Source organism: Homo sapiens, chromosome 22 (assembly GCF_000001405.40).
Source record: "Homo sapiens chromosome 22, GRCh38.p14 Primary Assembly".
Lineage (NCBI taxonomy): Eukaryota > Metazoa > Chordata > Mammalia > Primates > Hominidae > Homo > Homo sapiens.
Genome location: NC_000022.11, coordinates 40,585,888 through 40,607,564, shown reverse-complemented (window position 1 = coordinate 40,607,564; position 21,677 = coordinate 40,585,888). Strand labels below are relative to the sequence as shown.

At 40.9% G+C, this 21,677-nt stretch overlaps 1 protein-coding gene and 1 pseudogene across 3 annotated transcripts in view, besides 4 other annotated features; both read left to right on the top strand.

The window, feature by feature from the left end:
- The window catches only part of MRTFA (myocardin related transcription factor A), a 226,431-nt gene that overhangs the window by 29,155 nt on the left and 175,599 nt on the right, over nucleotides 1–21,677 (top strand). For all 3 annotated transcript variants that reach the window (NM_001282661.3, NM_020831.6, NM_001282662.3), the window contains exon 2: nucleotides 12,830–12,891. The gene's annotated coding sequence lies outside the window, so the exon portion shown is untranslated. The remainder of the gene's footprint in view (nucleotides 1–12,829; nucleotides 12,892–21,677) is intronic.
- Nucleotides 12,991–13,200: an enhancer, noted in NCBI's record as "active region_19095". NCBI's record gives its function as "activates an Ori minimal core promoter by ATAC-STARR-seq in GM12878 lymphoblastoid cells {active_cell/tissue: GM12878}" and the evidence as "EXISTENCE:reporter gene assay evidence [ECO:0000049][PMID:35858748]".
- Nucleotides 13,781–13,980: an enhancer, noted in NCBI's record as "active region_19094". NCBI's record gives its function as "activates an Ori minimal core promoter by ATAC-STARR-seq in GM12878 lymphoblastoid cells {active_cell/tissue: GM12878}" and the evidence as "EXISTENCE:reporter gene assay evidence [ECO:0000049][PMID:35858748]".
- Nucleotides 13,781–14,120: a biological region, named in NCBI's record as "Sharpr-MPRA regulatory region 11047".
- Nucleotides 13,826–14,120: a silencer, noted in NCBI's record as "tiled region #11047; HepG2 Repressive DNase matched - State 8:EnhW". NCBI's record gives its function as "represses a minimal TATA promoter and a strong SV40 promoter by Sharpr-MPRA in HepG2 cells {active_cell/tissue: HepG2}" and the evidence as "EXISTENCE:reporter gene assay evidence [ECO:0000049][PMID:27701403]".
- RPL4P6 (ribosomal protein L4 pseudogene 6) lies at nucleotides 19,542–20,950 on the top strand (annotated as a pseudogene).

Genomic DNA, 21,677 nt, shown 5'->3' with positions numbered 1-21,677 from the left:
AGATTTCTGATTTTTGATATGTAGCTTGTTGTGTACCTGTTGTTCTTTTTTTTTTTTTTTTGAGACGGAGTCTCGCTCTGTCGCCCAGGCTGGAGTGCAGTGGTGTGATCTCAGCTCACTGCAAGCTCCGACTCTCAGGCTCACGCCATTCTCCTGCCTCAGCCTCCCGTGTAGCTGGGACTATAGGCGCCCACCAGCATGCCCTGCTAATTTTTTGTATTTTTAGTAGAGATGGGGTTTCACCGTGTTAGCCAGGATGGTCTCGATTTCCTGACCTTGTGATCTGCACTCCTCGGCCTCCCAGAGTGCTGGGATTACAAGCGTGAGCCACCGCACCCGGCCTTGTGTACCTGTTGTTCTTAGCAAACGTGACACCAGGTATGCAAACTCATTCTGGCTGGGCTTTGAGGGCAAGGAGGTTATGGCTTCACCCAGCACAGTTACTTGTTTTTCATACAAATAACTTTGAGCAGATAGTGGAAGAAACTAATTTTCTATTGTGTATCTGTTTTCTGTTAGGCACTGTTAGGTGCTTTCATGTATGCTATCTTACTTGATTTTATTTGTTAACAAAATAGTTATTTTTGTATGTATGTGTTGCTGAGTGTAACCACCCCAAATCACTTACAAGACACTCCTGAGCTTGATAATGATTTTTGTACATGAGTCCCTAGAGCCTTTGTTAGGAAGTCACTGCTGCTAGCCCCAGAAATTATATGCTGCCTTCAAAGAGGAGCTCCTTTGGCTTTGTTAGGAACAAATAACCTGATAGCTTTTGCCACCAAACTCCCTTATGTCTTCAGAGCTTCTTTCTGGTGGTCTGATGTCTCCAAAGAGGAATCCTAAGCACTTTTTCCCTCTGAAAAGAATTATAATTGGTGATTAGGCCTCCAGATGAAGCATATACACATGCACACACACACAAACAAAAACTTACCTATTATTAGTTCATTGGTCATGTGGAAGAATTTCTATAATTTAGATCTTTGTTTAAACATTTGTCTAATGGAAAGCATATGGGACCATGGAAGCTACTTAATAGCTATGTGACCTTGAGACAGTGTAAACTCCTGGGGCTCTGTCCTCATCAGTAAAGTGGAAATATACTTAATCTTGTTGGGGTGTGGTCAAGATAAAGTGAAATATATGTAAAGCTCATGAGTATTTAACAGATGTAGGCATTGTTTCCTGTTACTCCTTCCATTCTGTTTTTCAAATGACTGAGTAAAATCTCTTTGAGCATAACTAACTTTATTAAGTTTCTTTATTAAGATTATTTGGCCACATGCCCCAGAGATTGATGGTGAAATTTATTTTCCTTTCCTTATCAATTACAAACACTACTAGAAATTTATTCTTGTTCAGACTTTGGAATGAGAATTTTTTTTTTTTCAGAGAGAATTAAATGAGTTTGCTTTAGGCAGCTTTCTGAGAGCTGGCAGATTTGGATAGGAGTATTAGAATTGCTTTCATAGTGGAGTCCCCACCTGGAACATAGTTGGCAGGAGGAAGAAAGGTTATATAATCACATTCCTTATCAGATTTTCCGTAGAGTTTATTGTCTCCTGAAACACTCAAGGAAGTCCCTTACTCCTTTCCTTTCAATCAAGAAGCTGATTGTGGAATAGGAGATGAATAAATGAAAATTAATCTGACTTTAGCAATTTGAGAATGAAAAGAATGCTAACCACCAGGCATGTGGGCCTGTTTTAGCTTCCCAGGAACCTCCTCAGAGGGCATGACATGTTGGTTGTAAGCATTAAAACAAACAATCCCAACCCAAACTGTAGATGAAGCCTGGACTAAGTAAGGCAATTTAAAAGATTTTAGGTTGGTAATGGAATATAGAGATGATTTTCCCTGGCCAAAATCAGTTTTGATGTTTTGATTTTACTCATTTAAAATTCTTCTTGGTAAAAAATTATTCTCGATCAATCCATTCTTTCCAGAGTAACAAGAATGATCTTCTTAAAAACATAAATGGAATCACATCACTTCTCTGCTCAAAACTCTTACCTGCGGTGGTTTTTCCATTGTGCTTAGAATAATATCCAGATTTCATCCCATGACCTACAAGGTGCACACATACTGTATCTTTGCTGATCTCACCACCTCTTCTGGCATCCCACTCCCTTCAGTCGGCTGCACTGTCATCCGTTGGTCTTCAGTCCTTTCAACTTTCCTTATCACTATATCTAAAAAGTTGGCACTTTCTGCCCACAAAAGTCCCTTCTTTGCTGGTTTTATAACTTGGAGAAGTTTGAAATTGGTTTTCTGCTTGATGGCTTGCCTACTTACTTGTTTTTGTTTTCCTGTGCTGTTAGATTATAAACCCCATCAGAGCAGAGACCATGTTTTATCTTTTTTGTCTAGTATGTTAGCATATGGTGGGTATCTAATATTTGTTGAATGAGTGATGGTTTGCTAATTTTTCCTTTACAGACAAGTGGTTACTTCATAAAGAAATAGGCATTTGCTTGCTGGTCTTACAATCTGTAAGTGATAAAGGTTAACATGGGTCAAAAATAAATGATTCGTGTTTTGGGGTTTAATTTTTCAGAATTTAACTTAGATGGTAACTCCTCTGGGAAGCTTTTCCTGATAGGTCATAGATTAGTCTCTTCTTGTTTGGTTTATGGCACCACATACTTGCCTCATTCATTCAACGACAACAACAGACAGATTGCATTTATCTGTTTATCACTGTATCATCAGCACTTAGGTTGGTGCCTAAGTCAGCACATGGTGATCGTGCTGAATAGTATGTTCAGTGAGGAATAAGCGTTAGAATTTAGGTATCTCTTTTTTTTCCTTTTTTTGAGATGGAGTCTTGCTCTGTAACCTGGCTGGAGTGCAATGGCGCGATCTTGGCTCACTGCAACCTCCACCTCCCGAGTTCAAGCGATTCTCCTGCCTCAGCCTCCTGAGTAGCTGGGATTACAGGTGCATGCCACCACGCCCGGCTAATTTTTGTATTTTTAGTAGAGACGAGGTTTCACCATGTTGGTCATGCTGGTCTCAAACTCCTGACCTTGGAATCTGCCCACCTCGGTCTCCCAAAGTGCTGGGATTACAGGCATGAGCCACCGCGCTTGGCCAGTATTTAGGTATGTCTTAGGTAACTAACAGTTTTAGGGCCGGGTACGGTGGCTCACGCCTGTAATGTCAGCACTTTGGGAGGCCGAGGCGGGCGGGTTACGAGGTCAGGAGATTGAGACCATCCTGGCTAAGACAGTGAAACCCTGTCTCTACCAAAAATACAAAAAATTAGTCAGGTGTGGTGGCGGGCGCCTGTAGTCCCAGCTACTCAGGAGGCTGAGGCAGGAGAATGGCGTGAACCTGGGAGGCGGAGCTTGCAGTGAGCCGAGATGGTGCCACTGCACTCCAGCCTGGGCGACAGAGCAAGACTCTGTCTCAAAAAGAAAAAAAAAAAAAAGAAACTAACAGCTTTTACTCAGGTAGATTATGGAGATCACTGGTTCCAAGAATCACTTTGTTCTTTATCTGTTTTCCAAGTTCACCAGATCATGACATTAGTAAAATTTATTTTGAAATCTTTATTATGGAACATTTGAAACACATATAAAAACAAGGAGAATAATGCAATGAACCACCACCATGGGCCTGTCACCCAGTTTCAACAGTATTCAGGGGCTGGGTGCCGTGGCTTATGCCTATAATCCCAGCACTATGGAAGGCCAAGGTGGGAGGATCACTTGAGCCCAGGAGTTCAAGGACCAGCCTGGGCAACCTAGTGAGACCTCATCTCTATAAATTAAAAAAAAAAAAAGTAAAAAAAAAATTTTTTTTTTCAACATGTGACCAATCTTGTTTAATATTACTCCACACCTCCTCCTTCATATTTTAAAATAAAATTCAGACATTTTGCCATTTCATCTGTAAGTAATTCAGAATAATATAGTCGATTTAAACACTAGTTAACTCTTGGAAAAACCAGAAGCAAAAATTCCGTTTGTCTCCTTGAATCTCAGTGTAGATGCCGGCTGGTGAATTTCCATGTGCTAAGCCACTCCCAAGACCTGACTCACTATCAAAAGCATATACTCTATTGTAATTGCTGAAATAGCAGCAGTTTGTTAGAATATGTTATGGTAGTTAAGTATGTTTCTATTGGATAGAGAGAGGTTACCAATAAGAAAAAACTCCTATGTCAGAGATAAGTTTTTCCATTTGGAGATCTGATACTTTTTGATGTTGTAAATTACAGGCCTTTAAGATTTGTCTGGAAAATGAAAATGAAATGTGGTTTGTGGATTAATAGGGTAAATTCCTGTAGTTCTTTATGGGTGAATTCCTGAGAGTCATAATTAGCAGTAAAATGAAGAGCTGAAGTGTCAGAAGCCTCGGAGCTAGAAAGACTTCTCTAAGCCTAGGGAGGTAGACAGTTTAGAGCTTCGGCCAGAGGGAAAGTCACATGGCATTAGTAGTGATTATAGTTAGTTTTATTCTGGAAGTTAAAGTTGTAACCTAGACCTCTGTAAATAGCCTAGTGTGTACATAAAATTTTCTGGAGGAAGGGAAGGCACTATTTTTTCAGCAAATATTTTAAAGGATTAAGTACTGTCTTGTAAAAATTAGAGATTGGCACTGAGTGAATGGTTGGACTAGAACTGTGCTTTCTTGTGATGCCAGTTTTTTGTGAAGAAGAAATGAAGGGGGACAGAAATGATCATAATCACCTTTAACTATTGTTTTTTGAGATGGAGTCTCGCTCTGTCACCCAGGCTGGAGTGCAATAGTGTGATCTTGGCTCGCTGCAACCTCCACCTCCTGGGTTCAAGTGAATGTCCTGCCTCAGCCTCCTGAGTAACTGGGATTACAGGCACATGCCACCACGCCTCGCTAATTTTTTTTTTTTTTTTTTTTAAGTGGAGATGGGGTTTCACCATGTTGGCCAGGCTGGTCTTGAACTCTTGACCTCAGGTGATCCAACTACCTTGGCCTCCCAAAGTTCTGGGATTACAGGGGTGCCTTTAACTATTTTTTAAACCAACCACATAGGAGAGCAAGACCTTGATTCTAGGAGGCTACAAGTCCTAGCCCTGCTGTGACTGCAGCCTTACTTTCTCTTTATCCTGAATCACCACGATTCTTCTGTTTGTAATATTGGCAGATGGTGGATGTGGTGATCCCAAGTTCATTCTTGGCAACTTATTTTGAAAAATCTGCTGTTTTATTCTTCCTGCTATACTCCCATATCCCTTAGTTAACTCCTGTATTGAAGTACTTAGCACACATGACTTGAATAGGGATTTTGTCATAATCATTTGTGTTTCCTTAGCATCTAGCACATGGTCACTTGGAAAATATTTGTTGACACATGATGATCACTTTCCAATGCTGAGATGGTGTGATTTTGTGATTTCTCCAATGACCTTGACCTAGATTGTGATACTAGTGGTAGTCTTGTATAGGTCCCTCTCTGTGTTGTTCTTCTTCGTAGGTGCTTTGTTCTCAGGCTCTGGACCATTCTCTTGTTTTGGGACATTCCAGGGAACAGGAGAGAAAAATTTGCATTTAAAACAAAAGGAGTATGTTACATCGATGTTCCTCATTGCCAGGATCACTGGAATGTTCCAGTTGCTATCAGGATGAATTCACTGTTGGTAACAGATGCCAGGGACTCATTATATTTTTGTTATTCTTCCTCATTTACTGAGATTTGACCCCCTACCTCTGATTGTGATGGGAAAGGGATTTCAGTCTTGATCTTCAAGCTTTATATTATTTATTTAATTTTAATTTTTCATTGTTTTTAAAGAGACAAAGTCTTGCTCTGGTACTCAGGTGGATCACAGTGGCACATCCATGGCTCAGTGTAACCATACCCAGCTGATCTTCAGGCTTTAAAGGTTATGGCCAGTCATTCAGAATTAATCAGTATCAAACGATGAGTATTTTTTTTTGTCATCTATGTGATAACTGCTGAAATTAACTTATTATAAAACTAGGCTAGAGTCTAGGCTAAATTAAATTTGTGTTTTGTCAGCTACTATAAGACAGTAAAATGGAAGTATTAAAAAACATTATTTCGAAGTTGGGCATGGTGGCTCATGCCTGTAATCCCAGCACTTTAGGAGGTCAAGGCAGGAGGATCGCTTGAAGCTAGGAGTTTGACACCAGCCTGGGCAAAATAGACTCTGTCACTACAAAAATAAAAAATTAGCCAGGCATGGTGGCACATGCCTGTAGTCTGGCTCCTCTGAAGGCGGAGGCAGGGAGGAGCACTTGAGCCAAGGAGTTTGAGGTTGCATTGAGCTATAGATGTGCCACTGTGATCCAGTCTGCACAATAGAGCAAGACCATGTCTCAAAAAAACAAAAAAAAGTTCAAAAACTTAAAAATTGTAAAGTGGGTTTTGCTTTGCAGTTTCAAAAGGAAAGAGCTATATCTACTTCTCTGGAGCTACTATGTCTGAGTCTTAATAATGGTCAAACAGGAGATGCTTATTATGGGATGCTGGCAGATGAAGGGAAAACTGGGAACTTTATTATAGAGTTTGAAACTCTTCTTATAAGTGGACAGTTTGAGATTGTAGTTTTTTTGTTTTGTTTTGTTTTGCTTTTTTTGAGACGGAGTCTTGCTTTGTCACCCAGGCTGGAGTACAGTGGCACAATCTTGGCTCACTGCAACCTCCACCTTCCGGGTTCAAGCTATTCTGCCTCAGCCATCTGAGTAGCTGGGACTACAGGCGTGTGCCACCACGGCCGGCTAATTTTTGTATCTTTAGAAGAGACGGGGTTTCACTACGTTGGCCAGGCTGGTCTCGAACTCCTGACCTTGTGATCCGCCTGCCTCGGCCTCCCAAAGTTCTGGGATTACAGGCGTGAGCCACCAAGCCCAGCCAAGATTGTAGTTTTTTATTTTGTAAAGTATTGCATATGTTATGGTACCTTAATGAGCACATGAGCATGTTCGGTTGAATTCTGCATCTGGGTTGACCAGCAGGCTACATAGGCCTTCTTTATTTTCTCTCTCCCTTTTTAATATATACAGGTATTGCTTCCATTTTCCTCTTGTCACCTTAATCAAATATAATCTCAGCCTCTCAAAGTGCTGAGATTACAAGTGTGGGCCAGCATGCCCTGCCTTAACTGTTCTTTAAAATCTCTATGCACATCACACCGATAATCGGAAAGGAAAGATTTGTGGTGGATATGAAAGGCAGCAGAGTGTATTGCTTCTTGTAGGAGGTTATGGATATGCCTAGGAGCACAGTGGTTTCTCTTGACTCCTTTAAGACTCTTGGATCGCTTTAGTCATTACCAGCACTTTGCATGGATTCGCATTTCTGCCTCCCTTACTTGTTTCAGGGGGCCTAGTTTATTTAATCTTCTCTTTGGGTGCAGAAGAAAGAGCAAACAGAGGAATCAGGCAGAGAGAGATTAAGATTTTTTTCATAGGTGTTCAGTTTGAGGAGATATGTAACAATATCTGTTGAGGTGGACTGCTTAAAAACCACAATTCCAAAAAATCCCCACAGTTTATTCCTTTAACTGGAAATTGTTATTTTCCCTCTGCTTTTTTTTTTTTTGATAAGTCAAACCTCTAAATTGATTTTCTTTTGTCTTTCTTCCTTTTCCTTTTTCCCCTCTTCATTCCATTTTTGTTCCTTTCCCTTCACTTCTTTTTTTTTTTTTAAAGACACAGCGTGTCTCACTCTGTCGCTCAGGCTGGAGTGCAGTGGTGTAATCATAGCTCGCTGCGGCCTCAACCTCCCGGGGTCAAGCGATCCTCCTACCTCAGCCTCCTGAGTAGTTGGGACTTTAGGCAAACACCACCATGCCTGATTAATTTTTGTATTTTTTGTAGCGATGGGGTTTTGCCATATTGCCCAGTCTGGTCTCAAACTCCTGGGTTCAAGCAGTCCGCTCGCTTCTGCCTCTCCCAGAGTGTTGGAATTACAGGTGTGAGCCACTGTGCCTGGCAACTTTCCTTTTATCCTTTGCATTCTCTTCCCCTAAATTAAAATGGATTAGTGGCATTCTTTCCAAAGAAGTGCTTGTTTGAAAGAAGACCCAGAATTCTATGAAATTGCTTTTTTTCTTTGTGGGAAGTTTATTTTTTAGAAGATAAGGATAATGTCATCTTAGATTGTAAAAATTATTCTCATCCCCTTTGGAATGTAAGGAAATCTTTTAAAAGCTAAATTTCCACTGGAGAGTCTATGTGCGTATGTATTGAGCCAAAAGTATTGAAAATAATTGCTATAGTTTTCTAATGCCCAAGTTTTTTTTGTTTGTTTGAGACGGAGTTTCGTTCTTGTTGCCCAGGCTGAAGTGCAATGGCCCGATCTCGGCTCACTGCAACCTCCGCCTCCTGGGTTCAAGCGATTCTCCTGCCTCAGCCTCCTGAGTAGCTGGGATTACAGGCATGCACCACTATGCCCAGCTAATTTTTCTATTTTTAGTAGAGATGGGGTTTCTCCATGTTGGCCAGGCTAGTCTCGAACTCCCAACCTCAGGTGATCAGCCCGCCCCGGCCCCCCAAGGTTCTGGGATTACAGGTGTGAGCCACCACGCCCAGGTTTTTTTTTTTTTTTTTTTAGATGGAGTTTCCCTCTTGTTGCCCAGGCTGGAGTGCAGTGGCACAATCTTGACTCACCGCAACCTCCAGCCTCTGCCTCCCGGGTTCAAGCAGTTGTCCTGCCTCAGCCTCCCAAGTAGCTGGGATTATAGGCGTGCACTGCCACACCTGGCTATTTTTTTTTTTTTTTTAAAGTAGCGACGGAATTTCTCCATGTTGGTTAGGCTGAACTCCTGACCTCAGGTAATTCGCCCTCCTCAGCTTCCCAAAATACTGGAATTACAGGTGTGAGCCACTGTACCTGGCCTCTAATACCCAAGTTTTTAAGGAACAATATTTCCAATTTTGGGGGGGCACACACATCTAATTTTTAAAATCTTCCCAGTTAGGGAATGGATATTTAAACTTTTCTGTTGTAATTTCAAAAACAGTGTGTTTAGTAGTATGTAGTAGAATAAATACATTGTACTAGTAATCAGATTCTGGCTCATTTTTCTTTTATCAGATCACTGAACTCTTGTGCTGTAGTTCCCCAACTGAAAATGAAAATACTGGATGTGTTAGTTTCTGAGGTTCTTGTTATAAAAGTGTAGTTATTCTAGGTTTTATTGGCATTTCTCTAATGCTGATAAAAGATTAAGATAATTTTGCTTGTAATACTATTCATATAAAAATAGAATTCATTTCAATATAAAATGAGTTAGACTTGGATTCTAAAGGGGCTTAGTCAGTGAATGACTAAAACAACCTTTATATAAGATGGTCTCATGTAGCAATCAATTTCAAGATCCATTCTCTAGGAGGCTGGGGAGGGGCGGGGGAGGGAAACAACCACCAAAAAATAACATTGTCTGACAACTTTGAGCTAAAATCCAGGATCTTAATTTGAGATTAATGTAAGAAATCTGTCAGGTATTTTTAAAAAGTAACTCATCACTATTTAGGAGTTGACTTTTTCTGTTGTAGCTTTCATTGAAGGACTATTGTTTTAGTCATTCTCTCCTAAATTCCTTTTCCTGAGACTAAAAGATTGAGCTCATACCTTTGCATAACGATCTGGAGAGTATTTTAAACTTGGCATGTTCAAACCTGGCAGACTCGATTAATATGTGGACAAACTAGCACATTAGAACATTTTTTAAGTTCCAAGCCATAAATGTTTTAAATGAACATGGGCATGTATAAAATTAATACTTAAGCCTTCAAATAGCACAGACTTTCAAAATGCCTGTTGCCTTGGGTGACTGATTTTCAGTGAGGCTCTCGCTTACCCTACACATTTCTTCCTCTGCGTGAAGCAGTGCCAGGCACAGAGTCAGGAGAGGGTTTGCTCCTTTGGCGCTCTACTACCCTCTGCTTTCGGCAGAGAAAAGGCTGCTGTTTTACTTCTTAAACTCCTACCATATGGAAAGCTTCTAAAAATAAACTTTGGATTTGTATTGGACTTCTAAATTTGTAACCTTCTTTATCCATGACTAAAGCCAATGTAAATACCTTTAGCTACTCTACATACAAAGCTGTGGCACCGTTTTAGTAAGAAAGATCACCAACCATAATATTTAAATTATCAACTGAATTAGTTTACCTTTCATTTATGTCTTAGTTGGCATGGATAAGGACCTGGTTGTGTTGTCAAGCAAAAACTAGTTGGTGGTTTTTAGTGAATCCACTTTAATTTTTTGTTCATGAATTGTTGGTGTAATTACGTAGCAGACGTATTCGTGAGAATGTAGAAGTACACTAGCTTTTGACACAACAGATTGTTTAAATGGATCGTTATTCACTTTGTAAATTCTGGTCAGTTGGGCCTTCTATCAGCAAGTATATAATGAGCACCTGTTACTTGCCAGGCACTGCTAGGTCTTGCGAGATACAAAGTTGTATAAAAGATGATTCTTGTTCAGACAAGTAAGAGAGAAAGGAAGAAGAAAACCTGGGGACAACCAAATGTTTTAACTGTGTTAACAGAGAAATAGATGCTATGAGAGCATGAGAGCATGGAGGAGAGATGAGTAGAGTAATAGTTGGCTTTTTTTTTTTGAGACAGAGTCTCACTCTGTTGCCTAGGCTGCTGGAGTGCAGTGGTGTGATCTCGGCTCATTGCAACCTCCACCTCCCAGGTTCAAGTGATTCTCATGCCTCAGCCTCCCGAGTAGCTGGGATTACAGGTGTGTACCACCACTCCGAGCTATTTTTTTGTTGTTGTTGTTTTTGAGATGGAGTCTCGCTCTGTTACCCAGGCTAGAGTGCAGCAGTGTGATCTTGGCTCACTGCAGCTTCTGCCTCTCGGGTTCAAGGATTCTTGTGCGTCATCCTCCGAGTACCTGGGACTACAGGTACGTGCCACCACGCCCAGCTAATTTTTGTATTTTGTATTTAGTACAGACAGGGTTTCACCATGTTGGCCAGGCTGTTCTTGAACTCCTGACCTCAAGTGATCCGCCCGCCTTGGCCTCCCAAAGTGCTGGGATTACAGGCGTGAGTCACTGCGCCCAGCCTAATTTTTGCATTTTTAGTAGAGATGGGGCCAGGCTGGTCTTGAACTCCTGGCCTCAAGTGATCCTCCCACCCTGGCCTCCCGAAGTGCTGGCCTTTTCATAGGTGTTCAGTTTGAGGGTATATGTAACCATATCTGTTGAGGTGGACTGCTTAAAAACCACAATTCATTTATTTAATTGGGAATTGTTTCTCTCCCCTCCTTTTTTGATAACAGTCAAACCTCTAAATTTATTTTCTTTTATCTTTCTTTCTTCTTCCAACTGAGCTACGGCACTCAGCCTCAGTTGTATCTTAAATAATAAAAATTATTTACAACAGAGGCTATTTTTTTTTGAGTGCCAGGATTAATGTTACCCGCCAGGGAAAAGAGAACATTCTAGGTAGTAGGAGAAACAGTAGAACTATCAAAGACAGTATGTTCTAGGAGGAAGTTTGGTGTGGGTAATGGGGAGGAGGAGGGACATTAGTGGCCAGAGAGCAAAGGCTTGTGAGACTGGGTGGGATCAGATTATGAAAGGCTTCAGGGCCAGGGAGATGGGAGAATTATGTGATCCCAGGAGGTTGAGGCTGCAGTGAGCTGTGATCATGCCACTGCACTCTAGCCTGGGCAACAGAGTGAGACCTTATCTCAAAAAAAAAAAAAAAAAAAAAAAAAGACTTTAGATATACCATTGATTCTGTCTCTGTTATGTCTTTGTTCTCTTTTCCTTGCCTGGAAAGACTTTCTCCACTCTTTGCTGATCTAACTTATTTTTAAAGGTCCAGCTTTAGAGCATCTCTTACGTAAAGCCTTCCTCTCTTTTCCCCAGAGCTTGCTGATTTTTTACTGTGAATGATTGCACAAAGAGGCTGTATTATGCCTCATAATAAGGACTTCCATTTCTTGAACTGTTTTTGTTTTGTCTTATCTGTCCAGTTAGTTTCTCAACTCCTTAAGGGAAGAGAATGAATCCTCTTCAGCACCTGGTATTAGTGCTCATCACATTGTGAGGACTCAAGAAGTAAATGATGAATGTAGAACACTTATACATACAAACCATTATGATAACCCACCTACGGTGGTAGAGATTGCCTATGTTTATTTAAAAGGCATTTCTCGGCCGGGCGCGGTGGCTCACACCTGTAATCCCAGCACTTTGGGAGGCTGAGGCAGGTGGATCACGAGGTCAGGAGATCGAGACCATCCTGGCCAACATGGTGAAACCCCGTCTCCACTAAAATACAAAAAAAAATAGCCCGACGTAATGGTGCACACCTGTAGTCCCAGCCTACTTGGGAGTCTGAGGCAGGGGAATTGCTTCAACCTGGGAGTCGGAGGTTGCAGTGAGCTGAGATTGCGCCATTGCATTCCAGCCCGGCGACAGAGCGAGACTCCTTGTCCAAAAAAAAAAAAAAAAAAAAAGGCATTTATCAACACCAATAAGAGCAGTTTTCAGAGGTATAGGACAATTGTCATTTGGATATAAGGATATAAAATGAGTTAATAAAAACACTTGTCTCATAGAGTTGTTGTGAGAATTAGTTTTAATATTTAAGTACTTGCAACAGTATCTAGCATATAGGAAGTGCCCAATCAGTGTTACCTATTATTTAACTCCACTTACATGGGCCTTTTTTTTTTTTTTTTTTTTAACCAGTGACAGAACTCTTAACACTGTTGTGTGCATGGAGAGGATTGAAAGGAGATAAGAAACAGCTTCTTACCTTTGAAACCAAACGCCTTTTAGGAATGGGAAGAACTGTTTATATTGCATGAACTTTTATTTTTCTGTTTGTGTTGTAGTGATCGGAGGGTATGGTTGGCATGGAATTGAATTTCATCTGTCTGTGGGAATTGTAAGCAAGGTAGGTCCCAGATTTATTTACTCTTCCCTCCCTCCTTTCCTAATGTGGTCGTTAGTATCTTCAATTGTACTGACCTAGAATAGATCAGATTTGACTATTGTTTGGGGAAACATTATCTTTTTCAGTCTCACTCATCGTGCCTCCTGATGGTCTGTCCTGTGGTTTAATGTTGTGGACTACATCTAGTATCTCATTAGAATGTAGAGAATGCTAAGAAACAACATAACCAATGTAAAATTTTGGTGGTCCTAGAACAGAACCATGAATTTACACATGTACCCACCCACACATACCCCTACCTCTTTAATCCAGTCCTTGAGGGCAGAAGTTTTTGTGTTGGAGCCATTATGTAAACCAATTTAGGGTGGTGGGTAATGGTAGGCTAGCTTATTCTGATCACTCTAAAAATCAGTAGCCTGTGTGAATGGTAGACTAAATGCAACAAAGGACCTGACTAGACAGTAGCCAGGCCATTACTGGCAACTGTAAATTTTGTTACTGATGACAGGATCTGTCCATCTGTAACCACTAGAGTTTGATTTGACACAACATGCTTTGTTCCTATCTTAAGCTCCTGGGCCTGAACAAAAGTACACCAGATAGAGCTTTGGCTTATGTATCTGTCTTATGTCAGGTGCCTGCAAAAAGAGCTATAGATGGCAGTTCACGCAGCTCTGCAAAACTATTTCTGTCAGAATATTTCCTGTCAAGGTAAAGGCTACTGCTAGTTCATGTAGTTCTAGTTTTCTACCACCATAAGTATGTTGAGATTCCCGTTGCTTATTGGTACAGGAGACCTGGCTCAGTTGCAGAGTAAACTTGACAGTCAAAACGGAACTCCCCAACCAGGAATCCTGTAAACTTGTGTGTGGGGTTCTATGGGTTGATGTCAGTCTGGACTCTTGCTGCATCTACACTTAGCACAGGTTCTTGAGACTGGCTTTCTCTCAGTCACAAAGAAGAGATTAGTACATTGCTACAGGGAAAAACAGTGTAGCCACTTCCTATAGCAGAAGGAACATGGCCTTGGAATTGACGCTGCTGTCTAGGAAGGAGGAGGAGACGGTAGATTAAAGTTAAACTTCTGTAAATGAATCCTTTGTCATCATCTAGTGGTCTGAATTTTCTGGGTGTGATCTGTGTGGTCAGTAAATTATCTTTTTTCTATTGTTCTACTTTTATATTGGGGTAATAAACTATTCCATGGAAATACTGTGTGATAAAATTAATGGAAAGTAAAGAAAGGTACCAACTTTTATTGAATTCCTGCTGGAGTTAGGCATTGTACTGTAAATTTTCATGTATGTTCTTTTACTGAAATATATCAAGTTCATTGATATTACAGCTTTTCAAGTCTAGGTGAATAATATTGTGACTCAGTGTCTTGAACTATTTATAATAGCCATTTAGAGGAAATAGAATTTTGTAGTGTTTTATGTTACTTCATTTGTTTTCTGGAGAAGGAAAGAATAATTATATGAGTTAATTTTTTTCTTTTTTTGGGGGCTTGCTACTGATTAGCCAAAGGCAGGGTGGAGACTGGCGGGTTTGAAATTAGAGACACCTGTGCTGTTTTGGGAAGTTGAGGCTCTTGACCTAGGATTTGCTGAAGTTGGTGCAGGAGAGGTCAGTGTAGGTTAATATTTTCAGAGCTCAAAGCAAGTGTGGATTGGGGTTGTTTATAGGTGCAGTTTTGCTTGATCTCTGTATCTGCAAATGGAGTAAAAAAGTACAGTACTGCTGTTTTGGGAAACTTCTGCAAAAGTCCCTGAGCCAATGCAAATTAATTTTCTTCAAAAATACCAAGAAAATTCCCCATTTGGCTGTTTCACCTGGTTGAGGGAATTGACTCTTGTCATTATGCTTGTAAAGAAATTACCAGGCTGGGTGTGGTAGTTCATGCCTGTAATTCCAGCACTTTGGGCGGCTGAGGTGGATGAATTGCTTGAATCCAGGAGTTTGAAACCAGCCTGGGCAACATGGTGAAATCCTGTCTCTACAAAAAACACCAAAAAAAATTAGCCAGGCATGGTGACATGTGCCTGTAGTCCCATTTGCTAGAGAGGCTGAGGTGGGAGGATTGCTTGAGCCTGGGAGGTAGAGGCTGTAGTGAGGTGTGATTGCATCACTGCATTCCAGCCTGGGTGACAGAGTGAGACCCTGTCTCCAAAAAAAAAAAAAGAAAAAAAAAATGTCCACAGATTTTTTTTTTTTTTTAAGTTAAGAGACAGGGTCTTGATTTATTACCCAGGCTGGAGTGCAGTGTGGAACATTTACAGTTCACTGTAGCCTTGACCTCCTGGGTTCGAGTGATCCTTCTGCCTCAGCCTCCGGAGTAGCTAGGACTGCAGGTGTGTGCCACCACGCCTGGCTAATTAAAAAAAATAATTTTTTTTTTTTTTTTTTTGTAGAGACTGAGGTCTCACTGTGTTGTCCGGGTTGGTCTTGAACTCCTGGCCTCAAGTAATTCTCCTACCCCGGCCTCCCAAAGTGTTGGGATTTACAGGCATGAGCCACCATGCCTGGCCCACACATTCTTTTAAAACAATTATAAATTTGATTTTCTGTTTTTAAATTTTCTCTTGAAATTCTTCTCTCATGGGAGATACCATCTCTATGTCTTTCAGTCATGCAGTAATTGGGGGTCAGAATAAATTGTTCAGCTCTTTCCTAGGTGATATGCAATTAAACTGAAGTCTTCCTTCTCCTTTGGACTTGTGCATATATCTATGAAAGAAGAAAATCTGGTTAAGAGCAGCAGAATTACCTGGAGATACTATACTGTCCTTTCAAGGGCTGAAATGGACACATTAACATTTCTTAATCTATGCATTTTTCCATTTTTATTTTTCTGTCTATTGAATGAATTACTGTACTTTTCCTCTTGGCCACTTCCTTTTTATGGTTTAGTGAGATAAACTTAATATAATTTTTCCTTCTTTGTTGAACAAATGTTAGTTCTTTAAAAATAACTTTGAGGTATAATTTATATACTACAGAATTTACCTGTTTGAAGTGTACAGTTTATTTTTAGTAATTTTGTGGAGATGTGCAACCATTACCCCACTCCAGTATTACATTTCCAATACCCCAGAAAGATCCCTTGTAAACACCATTTTTAAACTTCCTTTGAAGTAAGGCGCACATTTTATTAAGTTCTGCATCGGATTTAATCTTCCACTCATGAAGTTTTCCACCACTCTGCGTATTGCACGTCTTCTTTCCTCCTCTTCTTTATATATTAGTTTCTTATTACTGGTCAAACATACCACTCTTTTGTTATTTTTATTACATTTTCTCAACACTTTTTAAAAAGTGTAACCTTGAAAAGAAGGGATTTAGCTTTTATTCAAAGTTATTTTTTTCTTTGAAAGTTGTTATCTTTTTTTTTTTTTTTGAGACGGAGTCTCGCTCTTTTGCCCAGGCCGGAGTGGAAAGTTGTTATTTTATAATGCCTCAGGCCTCTCAGTAAGAGCTCGTTATTATTTCTGGGTTTTCTGTTCACTTCATTTGCTATTTATTTATTTATTTATTTATTTTGAGACGGAGTCTCGCTCTGTCGCCAGGCTGGAGTGCAGTGGCGCGATCTCAGCTCACTGCAGCCTCCACCTCCCAGGTTCAAGCAATTCTCCTGCCTCAGCCTCCTGAGTAGCTGGGACTACAGGCGCGTGCCACCACGCCCGGCTAATTTTTTGTATTTTTTTGGTAGAGACGGGGTTTCACCATGTTGGCCAGGATGGTCTTGATTTCTTGACTTTGTGATCTGCCTGCCTTGGCCTCCTAAAGTGGTGGGGTTACAGCTGTGAGCCACCGTGCCCAGCTGCTATTTATTTATTTTTAAAGGGAATAATTTATTGGTTATTTCTTGTGTGTGTATACAGACTAGGTATTAGCTGATTTGGAGAATTCTGCTCTGTGCATAAGTATTCAGATACTCAGTAAAAGATGTGAATATTGTCATACACTTGAGCTTTTCCTTTTTTTTTTTTTTTTCTTTTTTTGAGACAGAGTCTTGTTCTGTTACACAGGCTGGAGTGCAATGGTGTGATCTTGGCTCACTGCAGCCTCCGCCTCCGCCTCCTGGGTTCAAGCAATTCTCGTGCCTCAGCCTCCTGAGTAACTGGGATTACAGGTGTGTGCCACTATGCCCGACTAATTTTTGTATTTTTAGTAGAGACGGGGTTTCACCATGTTGGCCAGGCTGGTCTCAAACTCCTAACCTCGTGACCCACCCACCTCGACCTCCCAAATTGCTGGGATTACAGGTATGAGCCACCGCGCCCGGCTACACTGGAGCTTTTTAAAGGCTTACCTACCATGTTGGTTTGTCTCATTAATGATGATGTTAAATCTCATCATTGGTTGAGTTCCTGTCTGCCAGATTTATCCATTGTAAACTGTCTTTTCCCCTTAGTGATACATAATCTATACAGCCATACTAATTATTTACTTTTGATATCTCTTGTACAGAAGTGCCATGTAGTTGTCGTAGTAGCAATACATCTTCTTAGAGCAACAAACTAACCTGGCTAACAGTGTTTAAAAATTGAGTATTATGTGGAAGACAGTATGCAAAAAATGCAAAAAAATGAAGTTCAGAATTCATTTAATTTAAGCTTCTTTGTAATGTGAAGTTTTTTTTTTTTTTTTTCGAGACGGAGTCTCGCTCTGTCTCCCAGGCTGGAGTGCAGTGGTACGATCTCAGCTCACTGCAACCTCCGCCTCCCGGGTTCAAGCGATTCTCCTGCCCCAGCCTCCTGAGTAGCTGGGATTACAGGTGTGTGCCACCATGCCTGGCTAATTTTTGTATTTAGAGATGGGGTTTCACCATGTTGGTCAGGCTGGTCTTGAACTTCTGACCTTGTGATTCGCCTGCCTCGGCCTCCCAAAGTGCTGGGATTAAAGGTGTGAGCCACCGTGCCCGGCCTTGTAATATGAATTTTTAAGTGCAGAGTTTAAATACAGTTGCTTAAGAGCCTTGGGACGCAAATTTAGTTTTCCTTGGGTCATAAGGAATTTTTGTTGACAACCTTTTCACAGTTGTACTTTAGTAGACATTATTAGCATGTAGTAGACATTATTAACATTTTTCATAGTTTTCAGACAAGTTCTTTCCTGCTTTTAAAATTCCTTCCTCCAGTCTTCTCATGTATCCCTTGGAACAATACAGCTCTTACTGAGGGGTCTGGAGTTATCTGGGTTTGAACCCTGGCTCAGCAGTTACTTAACCTCTCTGTACTTCACTATTCTCCTTTGTAAAATAGAATAGTAATACCTCATACGTTTTTATGAGGATTAAATAGGCATTTGGCACTTTTGTTGGTCACAGATGTTCAGTAAGCCTGTATATTATTCTCAGTCTGATAACACTTGTCACATAGTAGGCAGTGATTTTTTCCTTTATAAGCTGTACATGTATACATAAACATATAAATGTAGCTCATAGATGTTGCTCAAGGAAATAATCATAGACATTCCTGCTGTAATTGTCTCTGTCACAATCTTGGGGGGAGATTTAGATTCACTTTTTTAGGATACTTGTAGGATCCATATGTTAACCATACACCCCCCAACCATGTCTACATTTGCTGCATATTACTTTGAATATAAGATTTCGGCACTGCGTAGTGCTATGAAAAAAATGGTAAATATTATTTCTACCTCAGACTATATGATCTTTTTTTTTCCCCTGAGACAAGGTCTTACTCTATTGCCCCAGGCTGGAATGCAGTGGCGCAATCATAGCTCATAGCAGCTTTGCACTCCTGGACTCAAGCAGTCATCCTGCCTCAGCCTCCTCGGTAGCTAGGATTGCAGGCATGTGCCACTATGCCTGGCTAATTTTTAAATTTTTTGTAGAGATGGAGTCTCGCCATGTTTCCCAGGGTGGTCTCGAACTCCTGGGCTCGAGCAGTCCTCTGCCTTTGGCTTCCCAAAGCATTGGGATTATAGGTGTGAGCCAATACATCTGGCCCAGACTATATGATCTTAATGTGTACGTTGGAAATGGTTAAATTCAAGGCACTGTTACTATGTTACATCTCTGACCTGAATTGGAGGCCACAGTTCATTAACTGGCAATCTATTGATCTAAGTACAGTTACCAACTAAATTTTTCAGTGGTTCTCAATGGGGAAGGTACCATATATCCAAAGGGTATTTGGAAAAGTATGGAGGCATTTTTGGTTGTTAAGTGACTGTGGGTGGGAGATGCATCACTGGCATTTGGTGGAGAAAACTCAGAATTGTTCACCCAAAATGCCAATAGCGTCACTGTTGTGAAATTAAGCTAAATACTTTGGTAAATCAGTAGATAATGTTTTATCTTAGTTACAAAAAAAAGTTGAGGCTGGGCGCGGTGGCTCACACCTGTAATCCCAGCACTTTGGAAGGCCGAGGCAGGTGGATCACAAGGTCAGGAGTTAGAGATCAGCCTGACCAACATGGTGAAACCTCATCTATACTAAAAATACAAAAATTATCTGGGCGTGGTGGCGCGTGCCTGTAATCCTAGCTACTCAGGAGGCTGAGGCGGGAGAATCGCTTGAACCTGGGAGGCGGAGGTTGCAGTGAGCCGAGACTGCGCCACTGCACTCCAGCCTGGGCGACAGAGCGAGACTCTGTCTCCAAAAAAAAAAAAAAAAAATGTTGGAGTGTGGCCTTCTCACCTTCCCATGGATGTGCTGATCCACTGTTATCAGTGTACTCTGAAAAAGGGGAGTCATCTGGCAAAAATGTCACTTTGTCTCCTGTATTCAAGGCTCCCATTCCACCAGATATTGTGAACTTTGTTCACACCAACTTGCACAAAAACAACAGACAGCCCTATCTTGTTAGTGAATTAGCAGGTCGTCAGACCAGTGCTGAATCTTGGGGTACTGGCAGAGTTGGGTCTCAAATTCCCAGAGTTTGAGGTGGTGGGACTCACTCTTTTGGCCAGGGTGCTTTTGGAAATATCTGTCATGGAGGCCACATGTTTGCACCAACCAAAACCTGGCACTGTTGGCACTGTAGAGTGAACACAATCCAAAAAACAATATGCTATCTGTTCTCCCCTGGCTGCCTCTGCCTTACCAGTGCTGGTCATGTCTACAGGTCATCATATTAAGGAAGTTCCTGAACTTTTTTTGGTGGTCAGAGATAAAGTTGAAGGCTACAAGACAATCAAGGAGGCTGTTTTGCCACTTAAGCCTGGAGTGATACAAAAAAGGGCTATGCCTCTCAGCAAATGAGAGCTGGCAAGGGCAAAATGAGAAACCATCGTATCCAGCGCAAGGGACCCTGCATCGTCTCTAATGAAGATGATTGTATTGTCAAAGCCTTCCGAAACATTCCTAGAATTATTCTGCTTAATGTAAGCAAACTGAACATTTTGAAACTTGCTCCTGATGGGCATGTGGGACATTTCTGCATTTGGACTGAAAGTGCTTTCTAGAAGTTAGACAATTGTGTGGCACTTGGTGTAAAGCTGTTTCCTCAAGAGTAACTGCAATCTTTGCATGCACAAGATGATCAATACAGACCTTAGCAGAATCTTGAAAAGCCCAGACATCCAAAGCCCTTCAAGCACGTTGCAGGAAGATTCATCGTAGAGTCCTGGGGACAAACCTCCTGGAAAACCTGAAAATCATGTTGAAGCTAAACCCATATGCAAAGACCATGCTCTGCAACACCAGGCTTTGCCAGGCCAGCAACCACAAACTCCAGGTGGATAAGGCAGCGGCGGCGGTGGCAGCAGCAGCAGCAGCACCAGCACCAGCACCAGCAGCACCAGCAGCACCAGCAGCACTAGAGGCCAAATCAGATGAGAAAGGGGGTTGCAGTCAAGAAGCCTGTGGTAGGGAAGAAAGGAAAGAAGGTTGTTGTTTTTAAGCAGGAGAAACCTCTGGTGGGAAAAAGGGCAGCAGCTACCAACCAAGACATCAGTAGCTGAAAAAAAAACCTACCACAGAGGAAACGAAGCCTGCTGCATGAGCTTGTTGGTTTATTCCATAAAGGTCAAATAATTTTGGACAGCTTATTTTTAATAAAGACCTGATCAGTGAAAAAAACAGTGATTGCTCATGGCAGGAAGCTTTTTGAACAAATCCTTCAGAGCTTTAGTATGTAATCTCTGAATTATTCCAGGGGAATTAGGCCATATTTTCTCAGTTGGGAGAGTAAGGTATTTTCCTGAAGATTCTGAGGGCGTTTGCCATTATGAATGTGTTTTGGTAGGGTTTAACTTCTAAAATTAAGAGTAGTTGAATGGCTAGAGTGGTTTAGTGGTTAAAGAAGATTGGCATTATTCCTTTAGTAATCTTTGTATCTTCATGGTTGATGGAAATAATACAATTTGTGCTTCGCATTCCAGTGATGCCTGGTTATTGTTTGTACTGTTCTTTCTTTCCTTCTTTTTTTTTTTTTTGAAGAGCAAATGATGTATTTGTTTGGCAGATCAATAAGATTTTATTAGGTATGTAATTCAACTTGTTGTAGCTTGTTTCACTTGAGCCTAGTAAGGACTTTGATGGAGATAAAAAAAAATAATTACTCTCAACTTCCACCTACCATTTTATCAGTCTCTAGGGCAATGTTTCTCAACATTTTTGGCTGTGGTTCATCGTTCAAGATGTATTTTACATTCAGACCCAATACACACGTAAGTATATCGATATCTAAAACAAAAGTTTCATGAAATAATACTTACCCTTATTAGGTGCAGTGCAATCTGCTCGTTTCTATTTTATTCCATTTTATTTAATTGCAAGATGTTGATGTTGGCCTAGGAAATTGATTCTGTGACC